The 26504-nt window shown below is 39.8% G+C and overlaps 1 protein-coding gene across 12 annotated transcripts in view, besides 1 other annotated feature; it reads right to left on the reverse strand.

The window, feature by feature from the left end:
- The window catches only part of PDE10A (phosphodiesterase 10A), a 660764-nt gene that overhangs the window by 259541 nt on the left and 374719 nt on the right, over positions 1-26504 (reverse strand). For 3 of the 12 annotated variants that reach the window (XM_006715321.5, XM_011535388.4, XM_047418100.1), the window contains exon 1: positions 12878-13147. The exons of 7 other annotated variants lie outside the window; for them this stretch is intronic. In XM_006715321.5, the coding sequence (XP_006715384.1) occupies positions 12878-12893 (16 nt within the window). In that variant the 5' untranslated portion in view covers positions 12894-13147. Of the gene's footprint in view, positions 1-12877; positions 13148-26504 lie in introns of those variants that run through there. 2 more of the 12 variants (XM_017010195.3, XM_047418098.1) reach the window with 1 other exon arrangement.
- Positions 10860-11361: an enhancer, noted in NCBI's record as "NANOG hESC enhancer chr6:166011177-166011678 (GRCh37/hg19 assembly coordinates)". NCBI's record gives its function as "activates a minimal SCP1, AML or CMV promoter by ChIP-STARR-seq in primed H9 embryonic stem cells {active_cell/tissue: H9 hESC(primed)}" and the evidence as "EXISTENCE:reporter gene assay evidence [ECO:0000049][PMID:30033119]".

Here is a 26504-nt window from a genome sequence, read left to right on the forward strand (position 1 = left end):
ATGTTATCTACAGCAGTCTTTCTTATATAACTCTTTTATATTTGCCTTGAAAAAAAAATGCTGAGCTAATGACAAAAGACAATCTTGGGGTACTTTGTCTTAAAATCTGAGGGTGGAGAATCAGCATGCAAGCAAAACTTCAGGTGGCAGCACCTTTGGAACCAGCACCTAGCAAACTGTGGGGCATCCATTCATGCTCTGGGGGATGTCACCAGCCATCACAGAGGGTGACCAACTCTAAAGGATGAGCGCAGGGGAAGTGGAAAAGGAGAGAGTAGAATGGCACGTGGAATGTGAGTTTCTGACGGGCAGAGATTTTGTCCTGTTTGTTCTCATCGTATCACCTGCATGTGGAACAAAGAAGACAGTAAATATCCATGGAACAGGTCAATGCACAGAATATGTGGGTGGAGGAATGAAAGAAAGAAGTAAAGACGGGAGGAACATAAACTTTTTGAAAGTATATACAGGGAGAAAGCAATTAGAACGATACAAGGAGAAAGTTACGTACCAAAACCCAGCTCTTGAATTGAAATTTAATACGTGTCTCATGCACAGCAGCAATTTACGGAAAACAAAATGAGTAATTTCCTTAGGTTCTTGGGTCCTAGATGGGGGTAAGTTATTTTTGCTGTAAAATTTTAGCATGTATTCCCTAAACAGACAAAGGAATTACTCATTTAATTCATTGTTTCATCTTATTAACATTAGAAGTACTGATAGAAAATTAAATCACTGCATGTTTCATTAAGTTAGATGCAGAAGAGACCTAGTGATTAGCAAATTCCAGACCCACCCAATATTTGGGGGATTTCTCTAAATGTCAGATATGAATTTTTTTTTCCTATTTACCTGATTGATAGGATAGAACAACTAAGGTATAAGGACTTTGGGAAATTACTGTTAAAAAAAAATGCAACACATAATTTTCATATGTCTTCCAGGAAAGAACAACCATTATTTTTGGCCTTTTAAAATTCAAGCTGCAAACCACAGAGGTTAAATGAGGTTAAACACCTCATAAAGGTCCCTGCACACAGAAACATTCAGAAAACACTGCTGACAGATGACTGTCATTGGTATGGACGGCTTAGAGATCTAGCAACCAAAGCAAGATTCATTACGATGTTTGCTTTAAATTTTGTTTTTGTTACCACTCCAATAAAACTAGATGACTCTATTCTATTTTAACCAGTATTAGCCTTTGTATTTTCTTTATCATCAATAAGAAATGTATCTTTTGTTCTTAAGGTAATTTATAATGCTGGTAAATACCGCTCTAAAAAAATGGTATGTATAACTATATGTCTATACCTTTCAAACTAAGTTATTCTTAAAATTGACACTAGGTGAAAATACTCTCCTTTCCCATCTTAATATTAGAAAAAAATTATCTTGGGGGTGGTAGTAAACTGCTGGAGAGTGAGGGAAATAAAGTGAGATTTTTTTTTCTTTTTTTTTTTTTTTTTTTTTTTTTTGAGATGGAGTTTTGCTCTTTTTGCCCAGGCTGGAGTGCAATGGCATGATCTCGGCTCACTGCAACCTCCACCTCCTAGGTTCAAGCAATTCTCCTGCCTCAGCCTCTAGAGTAGCTGGGATTACAGTCATGTGCCACCATGCCCGGCTAATTTTTGTATTTTTAGTGGAGATGGGGTTTCACCATGTTGGTCAGGCTGGTCTCGAACTCCCGACCTCAGGTGATCTGCCTGCCTTGGCCTAACAAAGTGCTGGGATTACAGTGAGCCACCACTCCCAGCCTAAAGTTAGCTTTATGATTTTACTTTGTCCCCTACTATCAAGTCAGTACTTTCAGATATATTCCATAAAAAGAGGGAAAACCTACATTATTCTGCCATTTTAAGAAAATATGATGTCATAGTTCATGAAATCCACATCTCAAATACTAGTACAGTGAAGAAAACATGGGTTCTGGGAGAAGACAGATGTGAGCTTGAATCTCTAATCCACCACTTATTAATGTAACCTCTCTCTGGACAATTTCCCTACCTACACTATGCAGTTTTTGTGAATGTTAAATGAGGTAATTAATGTTAAGACTCTAGCATAGCCCTAACACACAGGAAGTACTCAACAAATATTTAAAATAAATATTCATAAAAGTCTCTGTAAGTATCTTTATTTTCCAAATATTCTACCACCCAATGAAAGCATTAAGAAACCAGTTCTTTTCAAATCAGCCATGGCCACAAAACTAACATATTTAACACAGATTAATATATTGCCAACATATACAAGCTCACTTGTACATGTCTGTACAAACTGCTGAAGTCCAAAAAATAAAATTTCATCAATTGCAAACATACAGAGCATGCAAAGTACTATAGGCCTTTAGATAGTTTCCAATTCTGTTTACAAGCAAGGTACAGGGGAAAAGTTAATTGGGTAAAATGACTTGAAATGACAATGAGTATCAGCTGTATAAGGTCCCACGCAGCCTGCTGTGTTCACCACAGCACTCAGCATGGATGGCCTCCACATGCTTGTGGAATACAGAATATGAAATTTCCCCAATTTTAGTTGTTCTCTTAAAGATTTATTACTTTATATTTAAAATGCATTGGTTAAAACTTTAAAAAATGTTTTATTTCTTTATTATTTCATTTAGCTTTAAGTAAAATAAAGACAATCAAAAATGAAAATGAACACTAGAACCTTTTTTTAAACTTTGAAAATCAAGTTAATATTTTCTCAGGCTGGTTTGGGAGTACATAGGTATTCATTGATTCACATGTTTTAAATTAATTACATGTGTCTTCAGACACATAACAGTCCCTGGCATAGAGATTATTTTTGAATGGATGGAAAGAAGGAAGGAAAGGAGGCCTTCCTGGAGGAAGGGAAGAAAGACAAATGGATGTATGAGAAAAATTATAAATTTGAAAAAAATGTCACCGACTGAAATTGTCTATATTCCAGGCTAAATAACTTATCTGCATATGGTATGAACTGCAGGTTAAGTAACAAGTTAGAAAGCAAGGGAACAGATTTTAAACAAGTCTAACCAATCAGCCACTAAAAAACAAAAAAAATTCAGATACATTTAAAACTCTACCTTTAAATATAAATTTCATTTAAAGAAAATGTAAATCATTAAGAAAAAGACTTCAAAAGGCAAACTGTTAAGTTTAAATATGCATACTATATTATTTCAGTTTTTATCACAAATTGAGATAAAAAGTACAAAGGACAGCAGATGCTTCTGAATGTCACTTGAAAAATTTGGATTTTCAGTTGTACACATCTGAGGTTGAGGAAAGTTATTGGCAAAAACATTTCAGGAGTGTTTATGAAGACTAGAAAAGGTTCCGGGATAGAATCTAGAGGGCAGGTTATACTGATTTACAAGAAAGTAGTCATAAATAAGAGCTAATACTCATTGGGTAGTCACATGTGTTTTTCACAAAAATTCTATATGGTAAGAATTAGTATTATTCCCTCCATTTTAGAGGATGGAACTGACGCAGAGGGAGGTTAAATAGCTGGCCACACAGCTAGTCTGTGGCAAAGCTCAATTAAAACCCAGGCGTCTGCTTCCAGAGTCATGCTTGCAGTCACAAGAGTAGAAATACATACTGAATCAAGTTGAACCATAATGCAAATCACAGCAAACATAAAGAGTATGTACTTTTCATTTTGACCCAACAAACACCTTTTGAGTGCTTATTATGTGCCATGTACAAAACTGTAGCCTCCTTTGTACTTCATGTAATTCCAAATTTACAATCTGTTTTGGGTAGACACTAAAAAACAACTTAAGATGGTCAGGCACAGTGGCTCACGCCTGTAATCTCAGCCGTTTGCGAGGCCGAGGCGGGTGGATCACGAGATCAGCAGATCGAGACCATCCTGGCTAACACGGTGAAACCCCGTCTCTACTAAAAATACAAAAAATAAGCCGGGCATGGTGGCGGGCGCCTGTAGTCCCAGCTACTCAGGAGGCTGAGGCAGGAGAATGGCATGAACCCGGGAGGCGGAGCTTGCAGTGAGCCGAGATCACGCCACTGCAGTCCAGCCTGGGCGACAGAGCGAGACTCTGTCTCAAAAATAGAAAAAAAAAATTAGACATTTAACTCAAGTACAACAACCATGATGACATCATAGATATGTATGTAATTTCCCCTCAGCTAACAAAGTATTTAAATCAAAATAAATGAGAAAATGAGACGGAGTTGCTTTGCCCACATACTTTCTCATTCTATTGTATTAGTCATTTGGATCATAAGAACAGCAAAGCAAGAGAAGAGGTATTTTTATTGGGAAAAAAAGGAGCATAGGATGGCATGAAAGACAGGAAATCAAAAGATCATGTGTAATTCATTGTAAATTTGGTAACATGGAAAAAAGTGAATTGTGTTGCAGCCGTATCTATAAGTCCTAATGGCTGGCACAAAGGGGGCTTTTTCTTTCACAGCAAAAAAAAGTAGCCAAGTGGATTTTAAGAATTTTCTCTGACAAGTATTTTCATTGTGCTTCTGTTATTCTTTGAAAACAGAAACTGGAATGAGGTATAAGTTCTGCACTTGGAATGAAATTAGCATGATTGTATAGTTGGTGTCAATAAATAAATTATTTGTTGGCTTTGCTGTTACTCTGCTCTACTATTGTAAAATCTGTCAGTCCCGGCTGCCATCTTCCCTTCAAAACCCAAGTCTCCCAATTAAAAGAACCACAGCTGTATGGAATGGGTCACCAGAGATTTGAACCTCCACAAGCATTACTCACTGGTCCTGCCCTGCTCTCCAGTCTTTGCCAAAAGGCAATGTCAAGTTCACCTCCTACTTGGGACACCCAAAATGAAGAGCTTAAACAACTCTTCAAAACATGTGTGTTGTTTTTTGCTTTTTTGTTTTTTTAAGTTAAATTAGCTATTGAATGTATTTTAGCCCAATATAAATTAAGGATATAATCTACCTGACATTGCCTTGAATGGGGTTCTATGCTGTTTACAAGAAGAAAGAAACTTAAAACTCCATAAAGCTGACCTATTCATTCATCAATGCTTTTTATTTAAAAGGCTCTATTATATGTCCATCCCAGAAAACCAAATACCCATTTTAAAACACAAATAGACAAAAATGCTATAGTAGCATATGAAAAACACTCCCTGCAGCATTGGTTTTAATTCAAATCCTTACATATATATGATAAACTTAAAAGTTTAAAATGTGCTAAGCTGGAGGCATCACGTTCCCTGACTTCAAACTATACTACAACGCTATAGTAACCAAAACAGCATGGTACTGATACCAAAACAGATATATATAGACCAATGGAACAGAACAGAGGCCTCAGAAATAACGCCACACATCTACAACCATCTGATCTTTGACAAACCTGACAAAAACAAGCATTGGGGAAAGGATTCCTTATTTAATAAATGGTGTAGGGAAAACTGGCTAGCCATATGCAGAAAACTGAGACTTTCCTTATACTTTATACAAAAATTAACTCAAGATGGATTAAAGACTTAAAAGTAAGACCTAAAACCATACAAACCCTAGAAGAAAACCTAGGCAATACCATTCAGGACATAGGCATAAGCTAAGACTTCATGATTAAAACACCAAAAGCAATGGCAATAAAAGCCAAAATTGACAAATGGGATCTAATTAAACTAAAGAGCTTCTGCTCAGCAAAAGAAACTATCATCGGAGTTAAGAGGCAACCTACAGAATGGGAGAAAAGTTTTGCAATCTGTCCATCTGACAAAGGGCTAATATCCAGAATCTACAAGGAATTTAAACAAATTTACGAGAAAAAAACACCACCATCAAAAAGTGGGCAAAGGATATAAACAGACAATTCTCAAAAGAAAACATTTATGTGGCCAACAAACATATGAAAAAAAAGCCCAGCATCACTCGTCATTAGAGAAATGCAAATCAAAACCACAATGAGATATCATCTCACACCAGTTAAAATGGCCATCATTAAAAAGTCAGGAAACAACAGGTGCTGGAGAGGATATGGAGAAATAGGAACACTTTTACACTGTTGGTGGGACTTTAAACTAGTTCAACCATTGTGGAAGTCAGTGTGGCAATTCCTCAGGGATCTAGAACTAGAAATACCATTTGACCCAGCCATCCCATTACTGGGTATATACCCAAAGGATTATAAATCATGCTGCTATAAAGACACATGCACATGTATGTTTATTGCGGCACTGTTCACAATAGCAAAGACTTGGAACCAAACCAAATGTCCATCAATGATAGACTGGATAAAGAAAATGTGGCACATACACACCACGGAATACTATGCAGCCATAAAAAAGGGTGAGTTCATGTCCTTGGCAGGGACATGGATGAAACTGGAAACCATCATTCTCAGCAAACTAACACAGGAACAGAAAACGAAACACTGCATGTTCTCACTCATAGGTGGGAACTGAACAATGAGAATGCATGGACACAGGGAGGGGAACATCACACACCGGGGCCTGTCATGGGGTGGGGGTTAAGGGAGATAGCATTAGGAGAAATACCTAATGTAGATGACCGGTTGATGGGTGCTGCAAACCACCAAGGTACATGTATACCTATATAACAAACCTGCACGTTCTGCACATGTATCCCAGAACTTAAAAGTATAATGGGAAAAAAAAAGTTCAAAATGTCCTGGCTAACAAAGTTGATGGCATGAGTCAGTATTCTGATATGATCAAAAGCAGCACAAATACGGGGTACTACAATAAACCTAAAAAAGGAGCCATCAATGAAAATTGCATATACTGACCATTCCATCAGCAAAATCTATACCTAATACTGAGACATTACATTAGTTACATTTCAATTTATTTAAAGACTTTCTAGTAAACCTTTATGTTTTATAATAAAAACATTTTATTATAACTTGCTGAGATATTTTTAAATGATGATGTTCTAAACTATCCATCTTGTAAGGACACTTACTAATATTATGAAGTATGTAGGTCATTCTGAGTACGTTAAGGATGCCAAATCCAGTCAAAATTCCGAAGACTGAAAACTATGCTCAGATTCCTTGTTCAGGCATAGTACACAAGATAAATTATTGTAAGTGAGCTAAATAACCAATATTAAAACCTGCACCATATGACAACATTCTTAATCAGACTAACCTATAATGTATAAGCTTTCTAATAATTACTTTCTATGCCAATTACTTTGTATAATATTGTTTTACAAAAATTAGGAAGAATCCTATGGTACTGGATTTGAATTGGAGATAGCATTATAACTCATCATTTAAATATACATTTCCTAGCTGTATCCACTGTAAGGGCCTAGAAGGAATAACATCCAAGTTGCAATGAGCACATCTAGTGCTCAGGTCTTGGCTACTAAATACCATTTCCCACTGAACAGAACCAGAGTTCCTTGGAGAAGTGGCTGATTCCAGGTCTGAAATAGGAACATACAAAGTAAATAAGGGAAATGTTGTGCCAAGAGAGCAAGTGTTTCTGAGGTTAATAAAGACATATGAAATATAGTAAGAAAATGTTTGAAAGAACGCATACTGGCCAAATCTGGGTAGTTTGAATATCGGAAATAATAAATACAGCAATAGATTATAACACATTAAGTACAAAAAAGAATAGAAATGGTAATATATTATAATACTGAATAGAGAAGGAATCCACGAGTCCTTAATGATACCCAAAGTGAAGCAGAACAAAAAAGTGGGAGCAGAGTGAGGGAAGTTCTTTTCTCTCAGAAGAATTCAAGCTATAAATATAGATGGAATAGTAGAATTCATTCAAAAATCATCATTTTATAAGCCCCAAAGCAATAATTCAGGCAAAGATCATCAATGAATAGTAAAACCACTGAGTGATACGGTGTTGAGAAATATTATATTCACAAGATCTCAAAGTATCGTTCCATGGATTACTCATCACAAAGGAGAAATGATACCTTTATGGTGGAGACATCTGGCAGACTCCATCTGAACCTAGTGAGCAAATTTAGCATCACCAAAAATAGAAAGGACATGCAACGCAATGGTAATTTGTGCCAAGCCAAAGAACCATATACTCATGTGCATGTTAAAAAGTACACTTAAAAGGATGGCAGGAGGTTAAGTCTGGTGTGGTGAACAAGATCAGATCATGAATTATGATTATCCGCAATCTACAGGTGAAGAAACTGAAGTTCAGAGAAGTAACTTTGTCAAAGTCACGTATCTAGTGACTGGCAAAGCTGGAATTTGAACAAAGTGAGTCAATTCTGAAACCCAGATTCTTTGGACTGCAGGAGCCTGGCAATCCCAGCCATCACTGGGTTTAAGGCCCAGGTCCAGCCATGTGGAAATGGCTCCCTTAAGCCCTAGCCAGCTGCAGGGGCCAGCCCTGCAGCTCACCTGCCGTAGCCTCAGTCCATCCTTTGCTAGCCTACTTGTCTCTGGATTAGTCCTCTCATGGGAGTCAAACTAACCTGCCACCTGCCCACCAAAGCTGGGCAACATCACTGTTACAGAAAAGATGGCTCGAAGCCTTTGGCTATATTATAGAGTTAAGAAAACTGGCTCAATTATCACACAGATGGACATCTGCAAAGTTAATAAAGACAGGCCTGTAGAACAATCAAAATTAAATTATTATCTTTCATTGTTCTAGTCCATTCAAATGAATGAAATTGAACATGCGACATACCCATGAAATGTTTGCCCATGTTCCATTATCAGGGCCTCAAATGAAAATCAGTCCTTATTTTAATCAACTTACACCCAGACTTGTGTCATAATATAGCCAAAAACCTACTCCATATCTCCAACTAATACGTCTGTCTTGGTCCATTCAGGCTGTAACAAAACACCTTAGACTGGATAATCTAGGAACAACAGAAGCTTATTTTTCACATTTCTGAAGGCTGGAAGTCCAAGATCAAAGCACCAGTAGACTCAACGTCTAGTGAAGGCCCCTTCTTCATAGATGAGCCCTCCTATGTGTCTGCACATGGCTGAAGGGGAAAGCAGCATTTTGGGGCCTCTTATCAGAGCATTAATTAATCCCATTCTCAGGGGTACAGCCCTCATGACCTGACCACCTCCCAAAGGCCCCACATTCTAATACCATCTACCTTGGTGATTATGTTCAACATATGAATTTTGGGGCTGGGGAGGACAAATATTCAGACCACAGAAATGGCCAAAACCAAACACCTAATACAGTGTTGAGAAATATTATATTCACAAGATCTCAAAGTATCATTCCATGGATTACTCATCACAAAGGAGAAACGATACCTTTATGGTGGAAACATCTGGCAGACTCCAGATTTTCTTCCTAAACCTGATGATCCTCCATTATTCCATCAAGGCTGAAACCCTGAAGCCATCATTGGCATCTTTCTCTCCCACCTTATAGCTAATCCATCAGGAAATACTGTTGGCTGTACCCTGAAAAAGTATCCGCAATCCTTTCATCTCTCATCCAGTCTACTGTGTCCACCACGGCCCCAGCCACCACCAGCCCTTGCCTGGTTTGGCCACTGGCCTCCTCAATCGTCTCCCTGCGTCTGCCCTTTTTCTCCTACAGTCGGTTCTCAATACAGTAGCCACAGTGATCTTAGGAAGTCAGATCAGGTCACTTATCTGCTTAAAACTCTTCAATGAACCAGGTGCAGCAGTTTATACCTGTAATCCCAGCACCTCTGGTGGCTGAGGTGAGAGGATCACCTGAGTCCAGCAGTTCCAGACCATGCTGGGCAACATAGCAAGACCCCTTCTCTACAAAAAATTTAAAAAATTAGCTGGGTGTGGTGGCACACACCTGTAGTCCCAACTACTTGAGAGGCTGAGGTGGGAGGACTGCTTGAGCCCATGAGGTGGAGGCTGCAGGTAGCCATGATTGTACCACTGCACTCAGCCTAGGCAACAGAGTGAGACCATGTCACACACACACAAAAAAAATATGTAAGTGAATAAACAAACAAACTCTTCAGTTTCTTCCTGTCTTACTCAGAGAGCAGACAAAATCCTTCATGGGGTCCTGAATATCCTAGGAGAACGTTGCTCTCCTCCTCTACTGACATGGCCGCCTTGCAGTGCCTCCAAATATGCCAGCCATATTCTGAGACTAAATTTTTGCAATTGCTCTTTCTTCCTTCTGCTTGAAACTTGTTACCAGCTGTCTGCCTGCTCTAAATTTTTGCTCAAATTTTACCTACTTGGTGCAGCCTTCCCTGCCCATGTTAATTAAAATGGTAACTGCCCTTCACTCCTTTTTCTCCATAGTGCTTATCAACAATCTGACACACCACATATTTTCCTGATTTATTTCTGTCTTACCCCTCCTCTCCTTTAATGCAGGTATCCTGGAGGAAAGTGATTTTATTTTAATCTATTCATTCACTGCTGTATTCCCAATTCCTAAAAAAGTTCTTGGCACATAGTAGACACCCGATACCTGTTACATAAATAAATACATGATAAACCCACACATACAGACCATGGATTAAGAAAATTATCCTGGTGGATTAAGTTTCTTAATAGTCACTTTCTTCTAATATAGAGTACTAAAAGCCAAATCAGGTTTTAATGGAGAATTAGTCAAAAAGATATCTCAATTCTCAAATCGTATGTAGAAAAGTAAGCCAATGAGTCTTTGGCTGTATTTACACCCAAGCATTTTCCTATGTAAAACTCAGGTTTTGGCCACAAAAATGTTTTCTCCCTTAGGCTATCTGGGTTGATGGTTAAAGTGACATATGTATGATATTAATGCGACCAATAAATAGAAGGAAACACTCCCTCAAATATGTCCAAACGTAGCACATAAACAAAGACTTACGTGCATTTTATAGGACAGAAAAAAACAAACCCACTTTAGAAACGGAATGACTACTTTACATGTTCCAGTTAGTTCTTTTCCAGATAGCTTAACAGCTGTGCACAAGATCTCAGCAACATCAAACTGCAGCAGACAGGAGAAAAGCCGGATGATACCAGGTTTACTCACAGTTTTTGTTGTGTCCTTCATAGGCCCTTAAGTCCCACTTATATATAATGGATTGTAAATGGAAGGTAACAGAAAAAAGACTGTGAGGCTGGTAAAATGGAAAAGAAAAGAAATGGCAACCTGAGGTCAGCTGTGTGTGACCCACATGCAAGACTGAAGTAGAACTTGCCTCCTTGTGAACGAAACAGGGCAACAAGAGCTCCACTAGCACAGGTCACGCTTTGGTCTCTGCTCACCTGAGGCACTCAATGCCACGAGTCAAGCCAACAAACCACTCACAACTCTAATTTTAAGAGAGTCTTTTTCCACTTACTTTTTTGTTGAGGGGAAAAAAACCCCAAACCTGTCAGTTTGCCAATTAGGTTTTACAATACCAACATACATTTTAGCAGTTATTTAAGTATATCTGAGAATGGTGGAAATTATTGTTACAAAGTTTGGAAGTATACTTCACTAATAGTATTTAATTTCTTTTCTTCTTATTAACAGATCTTAGAGAGAGAGAGCACCAACAATATCAAAGAGATCTTAAAAACAGAATGTTTAAGAGTCACATGCAACACATAAGCAATTTATTGTCAAGATTTCTTTCAAAAAGAGAAGAAAGGAAAGGCATTTTTAGCAAAACTGTCTTTAAAATTTTCCAAACTTAAAACACTTGTACAGAAGTTGCTCCATATCATGAAAATGGGAGTTCATACCTTCCTTTATAATCAGGGTACAAATGGTGTGGCCCCTGCTGTGTGACCTTGGGCAATGGACTTATCCTAAGGCTCAGATCTGTAAAATGGTGATAATAATAGTATCAATCTTATAAGGATTATCATGAAGACTAATAAAGATAATGCACATCAAATTCTTAATATGCCATCTGGAACACGGCAATTAATAAATGGTTCCTTGGGTTCTTCTATTAAGCTCATACAATAGGTAGAATCACAAACTAATTTTCAAAGAAAAAAATCCATTACTCTTATAAATTTTCAAATAAATTAGGAAAATTTTAAACTAATAGCCCAGCACTGGGACCTAGAGGGCCTGCTCTTGCCAGCCGCTGGGAGGCTGGCTATGGACCTGCCTTCTGCAAGATGAGGGGACGGGGTCAGGACTTCTAGCTCCCTGTACATGTCCAGTTCTCTCTATGGAATGCTCTCTTTTCTCTTTTCTACCCTACGCAGACTGCCTCTCCAGTCCTTCAGAAGAGGTGAGAAGCTGTCCTACTATTAGTACTTCCAGATCAGCCTTAACTGTAAGCTAGACATTCTCATATATTCTAATCTATCTCCCAAAGGTAATTTCAGAATTGCCCTAAGACGGTTGTGAAGGAATTTTAAAGGAAATAATCCTAATGAATTGCATGCCAACTCCTCCACTACTGTGACTGCCAGCATTTCTGGCAAATAGTAAATGCTTTGCTGAAAACAAAAGCATACTAAAACAAGCAAACACAAAGAACACAAAGAAGCAGACACAAAACGTAAGCCTTCACCTTTATAAGGCAAACAAACCTTTATGCACAGTCCTTGCTCAATTCAACTCACTCCCTCGCAATAGGTATGACTCTTTCTCTGTTGCACAAAGGCAGAGTGCCCGTATAGTTTTCTCTTCTTCAGTACTACCCTTTCCAAGCTTCCTTCTGATACATTTCAGTGTTAGTTTTCATTTTCTCACCAGTCTCTCTTCTGACTTCTTGGAGTAATGAAAAGTCAAAGGAACCCCTAGAGTCACTGTTGCCATCACTTAACCCAGGACAATTAGGAAAATATAAGGTATGCCTCAATTACATTTTAGTATCATAAAACTTCTTAGACAGCCTCAGGGTCTTTAAACAGGCTTAACAGAATACCTCGTAACAGTAAGAATTTAATAAATATTTTTGTTATTATCATGTGAGCAAGCAAGCACCCTCCTCACCATATAATGTTGCCATACCAGTTAACCGTCAACTGCTGGGTCACAGGCAGGAGCAGGAGTGCGTCTCTGACCAACAGTACAGAGCTGGTGAGCGGGCCTCCACGGCCTCCTCCACAGCCTTCCTCCCCGGTTTGGCATCAGTTACACAGACTCGCCTAGGAACGCAGTCTTGCACACATCCTTAGATTGCTTTCTTTCTACCCGGAGGCAAAGGTGACACACTGATGGGGTCTCCCATTGCCCAACTCTCAGGCCTAGGATTGGCCAACTGCCCTCCCAACAGATTCCAACTGCTCAAGGCTGAGTGCAAGCTGTTCCCTCCGGGGCCACTGACATCACAGTCCGACCGGGGAATCCTCGCCACACCGCACCTCACACACCCCTCCCCAGCCAAAGGCTTTCATCTCTGTCAAATCAACACTTCCCACCCCAAATGAGAATCTGACACATTATAATCACCTTCACTCCTCCTCCGAGGATCCCACAAACCACAGAAAGACGCACTCGTTTTTCAGGGCTGCATGCTGGGGACACACTGCCAAAACAGCCTGCAGCCCTTCCAAGATGCTTACCACCCGGGAGAGGGAGAGTGGCCAGCCAGGGCAGGGCTCTGAAGGACGATTGTCCAGGAAAATGGAGTGAATGAGTTCTCTGTAAAGTCAGGTTTGAAGCTCAGAGTTCCAACTGAACCCAATGAGAAAGTGGGTTGTCTTTTGAGGACGCTTGCTTCTTTCTGTTCAAGAAACCAAATTGTGTGTGTGTGGCTGTGCACGCACATACACATACACATGTAAATGTTCTGACGTGTCCTTTCACGTCCAGGGTAGCATATATTTCTTCCAGGTTCACTGTTGCACAGCCAAGCCTCTTCCTCTCTCCCTTTAACCCCAGCAGCATCTAGTCACCTTTCCGGCATTGACTTCCTCACTTGATGTTTCTCTCTGTGTCTCAGTGATCTTCCCTACCGGCAGATTTACATTTGCAGCTTTCCTCATCAGCCTTTCACTCCCACAGTATGTGTTGTATAACGGCCTTGAGACTGCTTTGTCAAGGACACAAAGTAATTGCCCTCAGCAGGACCTGAAGGACCTGCTAAACTCCTTTTAACTACTCTGACATGATTGTATCAAGTCAGACAGTGGTATTTTCAAAAATTGTTCCTGCACTCTTCCCTCCATTCCTGACTCACAAATAAGCACCAAATTCTTTAAACATATCTGATGTTGGAAGCAAGATTAGCTAAGTCCAGTGGTCAAAGGTTTAAATATGTTACATGGTTTGGCTACGTCCCCACCCAAATCTCAACTTGAATTGTATCTCCCAGAATTCCCAAGTTTGTGGGTGGGACCCAGGGGGGTGGTAATTGAATCATGGGAGTTGGTCTTTCCCGTGCTACTCTCATGATAGAGAATAAGTCTCATGAAATCTGATGGGTTACCAGGGGTTTCCACTTTTGCTTCTTCCTCATTTTTCCTTTTGCTGCCACCATGTAAGAAGTGTCTTTCACCTCCTGCCATGATTCTGAGGCCTCCTCAGCCACGTGGAACTGAAAGTCCAATTAAACCTCTCTTTCTTCCCAGTCTCGGGTATGTCTTTATCAGCAGTGTGAAAATGGACTAATATGATATGACTGAAGTATTTTTTTCTCTAGCTACCCAAATATAACAATTACATTTTTTACAGTTTTATATTACACATAATTTGCTAACATTTATTCAGTGCCTGCTGTGTACTATGCCGTGTTTTATGTGACTTAGCAGCATTGTAATATGAAATACTTATACCAGCCCTATGAGGTAGAGAAATGAAAGAATTGGTAGACTCCCATACTTTTAAGATCCAATTGCCCTGTCCTTTAAATTCCTTTCACAAGAGTAATTATTTTCAAGATTTCCTAATCTTTAGATGCCACAGCCCCCTGAAGTTTTCGTGTTAAGAACTTGCTAACAGGTAACTACTTAGTGTTTCTCGAAATTCACATAGATTAGTCAGGGAGGTTCTCTTCTGCTTTCTGAAGTTTTCATTTATTTGCTCTTGGGTACATTAAAGAATCATTAGGGTCCCTCATACATATCTAATTAATTAATTATAGTTTATAATTACATAGCCTCCTCTCAAAGTCCCTAAAAATATAAAGAGTCGCATAACAGAAGAGCCTCATCTACCACCGCAACATCTCATCCCACCCTGCCCTGTTGGCCGTAATTATTGTTCTATGCCAGATGACAAAGAGCCATGGGAAAAATCCTTTTTGTAACCAATATATTTTAAAACAGAGACTAAGATCAGGATATACTAAGCAAAACAGGTTAATAAGATAAGTTTGTCCTTGGGTCAGTCTTTTCATTCAGCCCTTTTCTTCCCTGTCCCACTGTCCATTTCTGTTTTCACTAGTCCCCAGCCTCAGCATTCTCCATGGGCTTGGACAGTGGCAGCAGAAAGTGAGGCCACAAATCAATCAAGTAAGGCACGCTGCAACCTCAGGCACAGGTAACAAACGGCAGCAACAGGAAACAAGCCCCGCTGATCCCCACTGTCTCCCTCCTGTCTTCCTAGTTCTAATCCTGCCTTGGCCCACCCCAATCTTTCTCATGCCTCTTTCTCAACCAAGAGCCCTAGGAGGCAGCTACCAGCCCGTGTGAGTGGACTCTGGGGAATAATCCACATGTCTCCCTTCGGTCTCTCTCGGGGAACTTCGATTCTAGAGAAAGAAATGTAGCACCAGAGTGCCCTTCCACATGTGCAATTTCAGTCACCAAAGAAACTGAGCGGGAACAACATTTCTGGGCAGGAGAATAGGCAGATATACCATGAAGCTATATACCATGAAGCAGATATACCATGAAGTTTCAGGGCCCAGCATGTGTACAGGCCCCTTCCAAGGTCCTGGGAATGACCTCGGTGATGAGTTCACATTATCACATTTTTGTGAAATTTGAAAAAGGTACTTTTGTATTATTTTCCATAAACAGGGCACCCATATGATAAAAAGATCAAGTCCCACAAAAATCCAGTGGTCCTAAATCATACCTTGTACAGGTGTGAGGCTCAGGAGGGTCTCACACCTCATGCCTACCTACTTGATGATAGTTTATAAGAAGACGGCCACCTCTCAAAGTCCTTAAAACCAAAGAGTCCTATCACTGAAGAGCCTCATCTACCACCACAACATTTCATCCCATTCTGTCCTGTTGGCAATAATTATTGTTCTATGCTAGACAGACTACATAAAATCTAACCTAGTTTGTATTACATTTTCTTCATGTAACATCAGAGTTCTTTTCCCCACAATACGAAAGCAAAATTAGGTTAAATTTTAGAAGAGGGAAAATAAGAAGTAAAAATAAATTTTATTTTTTAAAAAATAGCAAAAGTAGTTACTAATGATGCACCTCCTTTTCAAATATATCTGAAACCAACTTTGGCAAGCCACGGGCATCTTTTAGAAAATATATTGTCCAAAGACTCTGCATGAGTAAACGTACAATAGGGGCCATGAAGCTCCTCCATACAATTCTGCCATCCAGCCATGTTGAGGAACCCCTGCAAGAGACGTCTGCAGTTGTATCCCCTAGCAACTCCTTAAAATCTCACTGGTGCTTTATCGTTATTTTAGCACTGTCCTTTAGTGATATAAGGTCAAGGCCACTGTAACACACATGTTAGTAAGCAGGAAACAGTGAAAACATAGAATCACAGAAATAATATTTAACAGCAAAAATGACACTTCTAACAACTCATTTTGTAGCTGAAAGGCACTGTAGTGAAAACATAGGAAATAGCTATATAAAAGGCTTCTGAGTAACAGAGGGAAGTCTTCCCGAAAGCATTCGGTTCTTAAGATACACTGTTATTTCCTGAGGTACCTTTAAGTCTCTCCTAAGTGGCTCAGATGAAAGCCCCTGGCAGAGAATCTGGGAGGGGAGCAGCGTCCCAGTGAGGACTCTGGGGAGGGCCCATGCTCTGTGTCCTATGCGCAGAGCGACTTCACCACAGTCATGGGCACAATGACCCCTAATGGTATTGAAAATGGAGAGAAAGGGGGCAAGTTCAATGACGTATGTGTTATTTCTGAAGTTGGTATTTTTTACAACAACAAAAAATTGGCACTAACTTAAATATTTATCCACTAGGGAACGGATGAATAAAAGGTGGTATATGCAACAACTGAATACCCACCCTCAATTTGCTGAAGCAGGAACTAAAACCATGGGACTGATCATGCAAACTGGAGCTATTTCCACTTGTTTAAGTCAATGCTTACAAACCATGCTCCTTCTAGGACACATAGAAAGTGTAACAATCAAGATATGTACATAAAGAAAATATTTAGGATTAGCCAAGAAAAATATATAACAAAGAAATAGGAAGGCCTTCCTCTGCCACCAAGTCTAAAAATTAGGTTCCATCCTAACACCCATTTCTTCTCATTTGTAACCTTTATCAGCAAATGTATTTTATCAGTAAACTCTTAACAGTAAATTTGTTTATGACTATTCATTCGTCTTCATGGGTCTGTAGTAAAGCGCTGGGAGGTTACGGACCATTGTATCCCCAAGGATAATACGGCGCCTGGCAAACAGCAGACCCCCACCAATAAATACTTTCAATAAGTGAATCATTGGCGATAGTTTCGAGTACCATTCACATTTTGATACCCCACAAATACTCAGCTCCAGTTCATCCTTCTGGTCCAGCTGACTAGCTGACATCAGCCCCTTCTGGTCCAGCTGAGTAGGTGACATGCCCACGTGAGTGTCCACAAGCTACCTGAGAAGCTACATGCACAAGACTGCACTTACTCTCTTTGTTAAAAAAAAAAAAAAAAAGTGTTACTATACTGTCAAAAGCATGCAGAGATAGCTACACAAGAGTGTCCTGGATGACATTACTTGTAAAAGTAGATATAAAGAAATAACCGGAAACATCCTACATGGAATGGGATACTACTTATCCTTTTACACTAAGGCGTAAAGCAGATCTCTTAGGTACTTCAGTGGAAAGCTGGAGGGCTGCTTGCGCTATGTTACTAAATACAAAAGGAAGCTGCTAAAGGTACCATTCTGTTTAAGATGATCATTACACATACATGTGGATTTCAGTGTAGAAGAAAAAAGCTAACAGGGTCATATGTGGGTAGTGGAATTTCTTAGCTTACTTTGAAGATTTTCCACATTGTTTGAGTTTTTAAAGTGAATAATTCCTACACAGAAAACTTGACAGTTAAAAAACAAAAACTAAAAAAATAAACTTTCTCTACTCTCAAGCTCTATTACAAACAACCCTCCAGTCACCACATTAGAAGTGTGGTAGCTCTCCTGAACCCCCTTCTTTGCCTCACTCTTTACATTTTACCACCGGAATATGTCTTTATCAAATTTCATTGCTTCATTTTGCTCATACCTGTTCTCTTTCCATCTCCTCTGCCTGAATTTAAGCCTTCATCATCTCTCTCTACAGCGGTCCACCAGTTGGCTTCCTTCCTTTCATCTGTGACTCCTGGCAATCCTTGACATTGCTTCCGTGTTTCCAGAACCCATATTAAAAAACAAAACAAAAAACAAACAAACAAAAAAAACCAACAAGTCACAGCTCAGAATGAGCCCTTCCACTCGTTCCGAATGGCCTGTGCAGTCGCATTCAGGGGGCTGGGACTGCCCGTGGCACCTGCACAGCACTTCTCCCACCATTTCTCCAACTGTGCTCTGCACTGTTCTAAAAATAAGTTTCCTGTAGTTCCCAATGTTTCACAGTTTGTTCATGCTATTTCCCTTATCCTGGAATGTATTGCCCTTGTCCTCCAATCAGAGTTAAAATTACTTCTGTTTAAGAACTCAAGTCAAACACCACCTCCTCCTCCATATAACTTTTCTGCTCCTTTTCCCTCAAGCAAGTTTCTGGCTCCTTCCTTTGTGCTCTCGGTGAATCTTCCACTGAAGCAACACGGAAACCACACACAAACTGTCATTTGTGGCAGGCTGTTGAGTGCCTGTGGCTTCAAATGCTTCGGCGCATGCAATGCTACTACTGTTTTCAGGTAGGTGGCCATCGACATCTTATAAAAGTTACAAATGTCCCCATTTTTGGAATAGAAGTCAGAAAGGTTGGAGAGTGGGGAGAGAGACACTTGTCCAAGACCACATAATGAAAGAGACAGGTTTTGATTCTAAATCTTTCTAGCACCCACTGTGCTGTACAACCTTTATTAATATGTCATCATACGCACTGGCTTGAATTTCTGTTTCTCCCTATAATATCCTTATTTTCTCATGGACAGGGATTATTTCTGATTCATCTTTTGATCCTCAGACCTAGTACAGAGCTGGGCACGCAGCAGGTGCGTGGGGATGTTTGTTGAGTAACGCAGGCAAGGGAGCTGGGGAGAGCGCAGTCATTAGGAGTCACACAGTCTGACCTTGAGCAAATTATTAACATTACGAACAAGCGAAAAAAAAAAAAAAAACAGAAATAAAGCACCAGGCACACAGTCTAGGGCACAGTAAGTTCTCAAAAATGCTACCAACAATTACAATAACACTGAGGAAAGAGAAGCTCATAAGAGGGGCATGTGTCAGTCCGTCAGGGCTAAGTGTTGCTGAGATAATAAACTATCCCAGGATCTTAGTAACTGAAAACACACAGGATTTGTTTTTCACTCACTGTCCACATGCATAAAGTTCTGAGGAGTCTCCTTCCTCTACCTTGTTCTCACTCAGGAATGCAAGACCAAACACCATGCAGAACAGCACTGGCTACCACAGCAGGGGATGGGAGCGTGGGAAAGTGAGCGTCGCCTATTAAAAACTTCCACGAGTCAGTAACACACCTCGCTTCCTTCCACCTGCTATTGATCAAAGCAACTCACATCATAAACTTGCAATCTTACCTCATACCCAGGAGGAAAACCAGAAATACCACATCACTAATGACTATAGTGGGAACAGGGAAACATTTCTTAAGAGGAGGTAAGTGTACCAGGTATAGCAAGTAGGAGAAAGGCTTAGGGTAGGCACAAAAATTGTAAAAAAGGTCAACAGATAAAACAGTAAATCAAGTATGAGGAAAAGCATCTGCGGCTTGGTGTGACTGGACCATGGAGTGCGTGCAGTGCGTGCAGGGGCTTAGGTGGAAGAACAGGCTGAGTCAGGTTGTTGAGGACTTTTCTGCTCTATTACTAATCATAAGAGGGGTGGGAGCCCAGATGATCAATATGATAAGTGAATAGGTTCACTCTGGCAACAACTTAGGGCTCTTCATATTCCAATATAATATATACATTTATCCTCATATACTTATTCTGTTGTTACCTTGTCATAATTATTGTCATGTTTTATCTATTTTCTTGCTTCCCAACTTAGAAGTGGTTTCGTTAAAAATGCTTTCAGAATACTTATTTCACTTTTTAAAAGAACGTATTGAACTTTAAGAAATCCACTGACTGCAGGACCTGATGGTGCTAATGGTGCACAGGTCTCGTCTGCACAATGAGCATGTACTACACACCCAACGCCTTGAGTTAATTTGGACAGCAATGCTTTAGCTGCAATTACAGCCATGCACAGCGTAATGATGTTTTGGTCAACAAGCGACCAAAGATATATGAGATGGTCCCATAATATTATAACGAAGCTTAAAAATATTTATTGACTGATGACGCAGTAGCCTTCCTAATGGTATAGCACAACACATTACCTTTTTATGTTCAGATATATTTGGTTACAGCTGCCTGCAGTATTCAGTACAGTGACATGCTGCATAGGGATTGTAGCCTAGGAGCAGTAGGCCACACACAGAGCCTAGGTGTGTGGCAGCCTGTACCATCTAGGTTTGTTAAGTGCACTCAGTGATACTCACACCATCAGGACGTCACCTAGTGATGCATGTCTCAGAAGGTATCCCTATCATTAAGCGACACATAACTGTATTTAAATACCAAGACTACAAGTTTCAGAGACTGACGCTGGGCAGCTGCAGCGTGAATAGAGTTTCATGTATGTGAAATGTGTCTCCAAATGAGTTGGATAACATTTTGGAGATTCATTCAGTTTATAAGGATGAAATGCAGCACGTGTTTAACAGCATCAACTTTAGACAGCTCTACATCACCTGTGTATCTGCTACAATCCAGAATCCAGATCTGAGGTTCAAGTGGGCCCTGAAATCCCCGACAATGTCAATGTCACCCTATCACACCCAAGTCTCCGGTCCTCCGCTGAGTTTGCAGAGAACAGAAGGGGAACGACCCACATGACTCTGAGCTGCATGATGAGATGATGCCACAATGTCTCTCCCAGGACTCATATTATTCTACGAACAGTTATTCTAATGCAAGTATTGCTTTTCTTGTATATATATGTATATATATATGTATATATGTATATATATGTGCATATATATACATGTATATATATATATTTTATTATACTTTAAGTTCTAGGGTACATGTGCACAACGTGCAGGTTTGTTACGTATGTATACATGTGCCATGATGGTGTGCTGTACCCATTAACTCGTCATTTACATTAGGTATATCTCCTAATGCTATCCCTCCCCCCTCCCCCACCCCACAACAGGCGCCAGTGTGTGATATACCCCTTCCTGTGTCCAAGTGTTCTCATTGTTCAATTCCCACCTATGAGTGAGAACATGCGGTGTTTGGATTTTTGTCCTTGCGATAGTTTGCTGAGAATGATGGTTTCCAGCTTCATCTATGTCCCTACAAAGGACATGAACTCATCCTTTTTTTATGGCTGCATAGTATTCCATGGTGTATATGTGTCACATTTTCTTATTCCAGTCTATCATTGTTGGACATTTGGGTTGGTTCCAAGTCTTTGCTATTGTGAATAGTGCCACAGTAAACATACATGTGATTGTGTCTTTATAGCAGCATGATTTATAATCCTTTGGGTATATACCCAGTAATGGGATGGCTGGGTCAAATGGTATTTCTAGTTCTAGATCCCTGAGGAATCGCCACACTGTCTTCCACAATGGTTGAACTAGTTTAAAGTCCCACCAACAGTGTAAAAGTGTTCCTATTTCTCCATATCCTCTCCAGCACCTGTTATTTCCTGACTTTTTAATGATTGCCATTCTAACTGGTGTGAGATGATATCTCATTGTGGTTTTGATTTGCATTTCTCTGATAGCCAGTGATGATGAGCATTTTTTCATGTGACTATTGGCTGCATAAATGTCTTCTTTTGAGAAGTGTCTGTTCATATCCTTCACCCACTTTGTGATGGGGTTGTTTTTTTCTTGTAAATTTGTTTGAGTTCTTTGTAGATTCTGGATATTAGCCCTTTGTCAGATGAGTAGATTGCAAAAATTTTCTCCCATTCTGTAGGTTGCCTGTTCACTCTGATGGTAGTTTCTTTTCCTGTGCAGAAGCTCTTTAGTTTAATTAGATCCCATTTGTCAATTTTGGCTTTTGTTGCCATTGCTTTTGGTGTTTTAGACATGAAATCCTTGCCCATGCCTATGTCCTGAATGGTACTGCCTAGGTTCTAAACGCAATCCAGCATATAAACAGAACCAAAGACAAAAACTACATGATTATCTCAGTAGATGCAGAAAAGGCCTTTGACAAAATTCAACAGCCCTTCATGCTAAAAATTCTCAATAAATTAGGTACTGATGGGACATCTCTCAAAATAATAACAGCTATTTATGACAAACCACAGCCAATATCATACTGAATGGGCAAAAACTGGAAGCATTCCCTTTGAGAACTGGCACAAGACAGGGATGCCCTCTCTCACCATTCCTATTCAACATAGTGTTGGAAGTTCTGGCCAGGGCAATCAGGCAAGAGAAAGAAATAAAGGGTATTCAAGCAGGAAAAGAGGAAGTCAAATTGTCCCTGTTTGCAGACGACATGATTGTATATCTAGAAAACCCCACTGTCTCAGCCCAAAATCTCCTTAAGCTGATAGGCAACTTCAGCAAAGTCTCAGAATACAAAATCGATGTGCAAAAATCACAAGCATTCTTATACACCAATAACAGACAAACAGAGAGCCAAATCATGAGTGAACTCCCATTCACAATTGCTTCAAAGAGAATAAAATACTTAGGAATCCAACTTACAAGGGATGTGAAGGACCTCTTCAAGGAGAACTACAAACCACTGCTCAACTAAATAAAAGAGGACACAAACAAATGGAAGAACATTCCATGCTCATGGATAGGAAGAATCAATATCATGAAAATGGCCATACTGCCCAAGGTAATTTATAGATTCAATGCCATCCCCATCAAGCTACCAATGACTTTCTTCACAGAATTGGAAAAAACTGCTTTAAAGTTCATATGGAACCAAAAAAGAGCCCGCTTTGCCAAGTCAATCCTAAGCCAAAAGTACAAAGCTGGAGGCATCATGCTACCTGACTTCAAACTATACTACAAGGCTACAGTAACCAAAACAGCATGGTACTGGTACCAAAACAGAGACATAGACCAATGGAACAGAACAGAGCCCTCAGAAATAATACCACACATCTACAACTATCTGATCTTTGACAAACCTGACAAAAACAAGAAATGGGGAAACGGCCAGGCCCGGTGGCTCACGCCTGTAATCCCAGCACTTTGGGAGGCCAAGGTGGGCGGATCACGAGGTCAGGAGATCGAGACCATGGTGAAACCCCATTTCTACTAAAAATACAAAAAACTAGCTGGGCATGGTGGCAGGCGCCTGTAGTCCCAGCTACTTGGGAGGCTGAGGCAGGAGAATAGCGTGAACCCAGGAGGCGGAGCTTGCCGTGAGCTGAGATCGCGCCACTGCACTCCAGCCTGGGTGACAGAGCGAGACTCCGTCTCAAAAAAAAAAAAAAAAAAAGAAAGAAATGGGGAAAGGATTCCCTATTTAACAAATGGCACTGGGAAAACTGGCTAGAAAATATTGCTTTTGCTCCCATAAATGATAACTTGTGGAACTTTTTAACACAATGCCCAGCTTGTAGGCAATGAGCCCACTGTGATGGCCAACCTCATGGACATCTCTCGTCTCCTTTAAATGCCTTAAGAAAAAGTGGCCTTCAAAACTTTTCTGTATAAGTTCCACCTTTATGTATGAGAAACCATAAAACAATAGAAAGATCACACTGCACAAAGAATCAGAAATCTTTTTCTGGTTTAAGTCCCTGTCCTTAAATTCCCATGTGACCTTTAGCAAGCAGCCTAAGTTCTCTGCAAATTACCTCACCTCAGCTCTCTTCTCTATAAAATAAGGAGCACTACTAGTCTACCTTAAAAGCCTTCCAATCGGGAGAGTTGCGAGTCTACGTCAGCTTTAAAGCAAATCCTAATGCTATTCCTAGCCCTTGCTTCTGCTTGTCTCTCTCAAAATAGTGTTTCTTTCCACTGAATAAAATTCCAATACATTTGTTTTTCAAAAGATCCTTTTGACTGCAAGAAACAAAAGCCCAATTCATACTAACAAGCAAAAAAACAAAAAGTAATTTATTGACCCATGAAGGAGTCACCTGGACCTGTGGCAAACTGTGTATGAAAAGGAAATACATAATTGTTGTACTAAGCCATTGAGAATTTCATAGCACTTGTTACTGAATTAGAACCTCACCTGTCCTGACTGATAAGCTGACTTCCAACCAGGACTGAAAACATGTCCTCCCCTGCTTACCAACCACAGTGAAATGTTAGAACTGCTTCTCTGGGTGTCCTCCTGCCAGTCCTGAGGAAGGGCTCTGATGAGCCTTACCATGGTGGAATCCCAGACCTCAATGAGTGGATACAAGCATGTACCAGGGCCACACCGTGTGCCTTCCAAAACGGCACAAGATCTGAGGCTGTGCCCAGAAGGGGCGGGGAAAGCTGAATGGAGTGTGAATAAGGAATAATGACTATGGTCCAGAGAATTCTCTCTCTCTCAACTTAACCTCTGAGCAATCAATTGCCTGCTAGCCTATCAGTATCACTGCTGTAGCCATTACACATTTTCATTTCCTTCAAAACACATAGGAAAATCCTTCATATACACAAATACAATTTTCTGTAAGATAGTCTGCCACAATATTTGGATTAGAAAAGTTATGTTTATTGCATACAACCATAAGTATAATGAAGATAATGTACTGTTCAGGTTTGATCTCCTTCGTTCAGAATCAACTCTCTTATTCAGCCAGTGAAGCAATTTACCAAATTCAATTTGAAAAGTATACTGTCATCAGTAATAACCTCAAACAACTTCACTGGTTGCCAGTATTGGACACTACCTTTCCCTGCTTCTTTTACACACTTCATACATCCTCATCTCCCTTGTGCTGAAACACATATGTTACCCACATGCAAAAGACAACTCAAATTTCACTTAGGGTTTAAAAAACATCACTGTATAGTGAACAATCATTATTAACGACAAGTATCTACAGAAGCCCATCCATGCTAAATTGACTTTCATAAATGTTATCTAGACCAAATGAGATATATATTGCTCAGAGAATAAGAGAAAGTCTGTTTTTGATGGAAAACATTTGTTATTCTCCTATTACTCCAAACTATGGCAACCCTAGGGGAGGATCTTTTCTTTCATTCCCTTCCCCAACCCAACAAAATATAAGCAAACATCAGGAATGCTCTGCTCCTTAATCCCATACACTTTTAAAACAGTCCTCACATTAGAAAATGATGTGAGAAATAAACACAGATTTTTTTTTTTTCTATTGAGATGGAGTCTCACTCTGTCACCTAGGCTGGAGCGCAGTGGCACAATCTCGGCTCACCACAACCTCAGGTTCAAGCGATTCTCCTGCCTCAGCCTCCCTATTAGCTGGGATTACAAGCGCCCGCCACCATGTCCGGCTAATTTTTGTATTTTCCAGTAGAGACGGGTTTTTGCCATGTTGGCCAGGCTGATCTCAGAAGCCTGACCTCAGGTGATCTACTTGCTTTGCCTCCCAAAGTGCTGGGATTACCAGCGTGAGCCACTGCGCCCAGCCATATTTTTGTCTCATGTTGAGATGAATGCAAATTAAAGTATACTTCAAGAAACAATACCAAAATAATGCAAAACATATCTCTTCCAGCAAGACTGTCTCGCCTCACCACATATCTTTTCCAGCAAGACAGTCTCGTCTCACCACATATCTTTCTTGAGTAACTATAAACCTATCAACACACCAAAAACCAAAATCTTACTGTTTTAACTAATAGGGCATAAATTCAAAAATGTGATTCATAAATAACATAAGAACTATTAGTGAGTCCTTTATTAAATTTGCAGTCAGAAACAATGTTTATAGATGAAAATACATTCAAATTTGACACATCAAATATTTAAAACCTTGAACAGAAAAGGATAAGTTCTCTTTATCTAGAGGATAGTTTATTTTTTATTTTAACCAATTTTCCTTCACATAGGCATACTTTAAACTAGAAAACAAATCCCTTATTTTGATTCTATCCCTTGAATTACATGATAAAACAAAAGGTTATATTAGTTTTCCAATAGCAACTGCCTTTAAAAGAGTAATTCTATACTTTTTTGCATGTGTTCAGGTTTTTTTAATGTATCACATTCCATAATCCAGTATTCAATTGACCAAATACTTGATGATAATCAAGAAATTGCCTGTTTGGGGACACGGAGGAAGCCATAGAATTT

This window comes from Homo sapiens, chromosome 6, assembly GCF_000001405.40.
Source record: "Homo sapiens chromosome 6, GRCh38.p14 Primary Assembly".
Classification (NCBI taxonomy): Eukaryota; Metazoa; Chordata; class Mammalia; order Primates; family Hominidae; genus Homo; species Homo sapiens.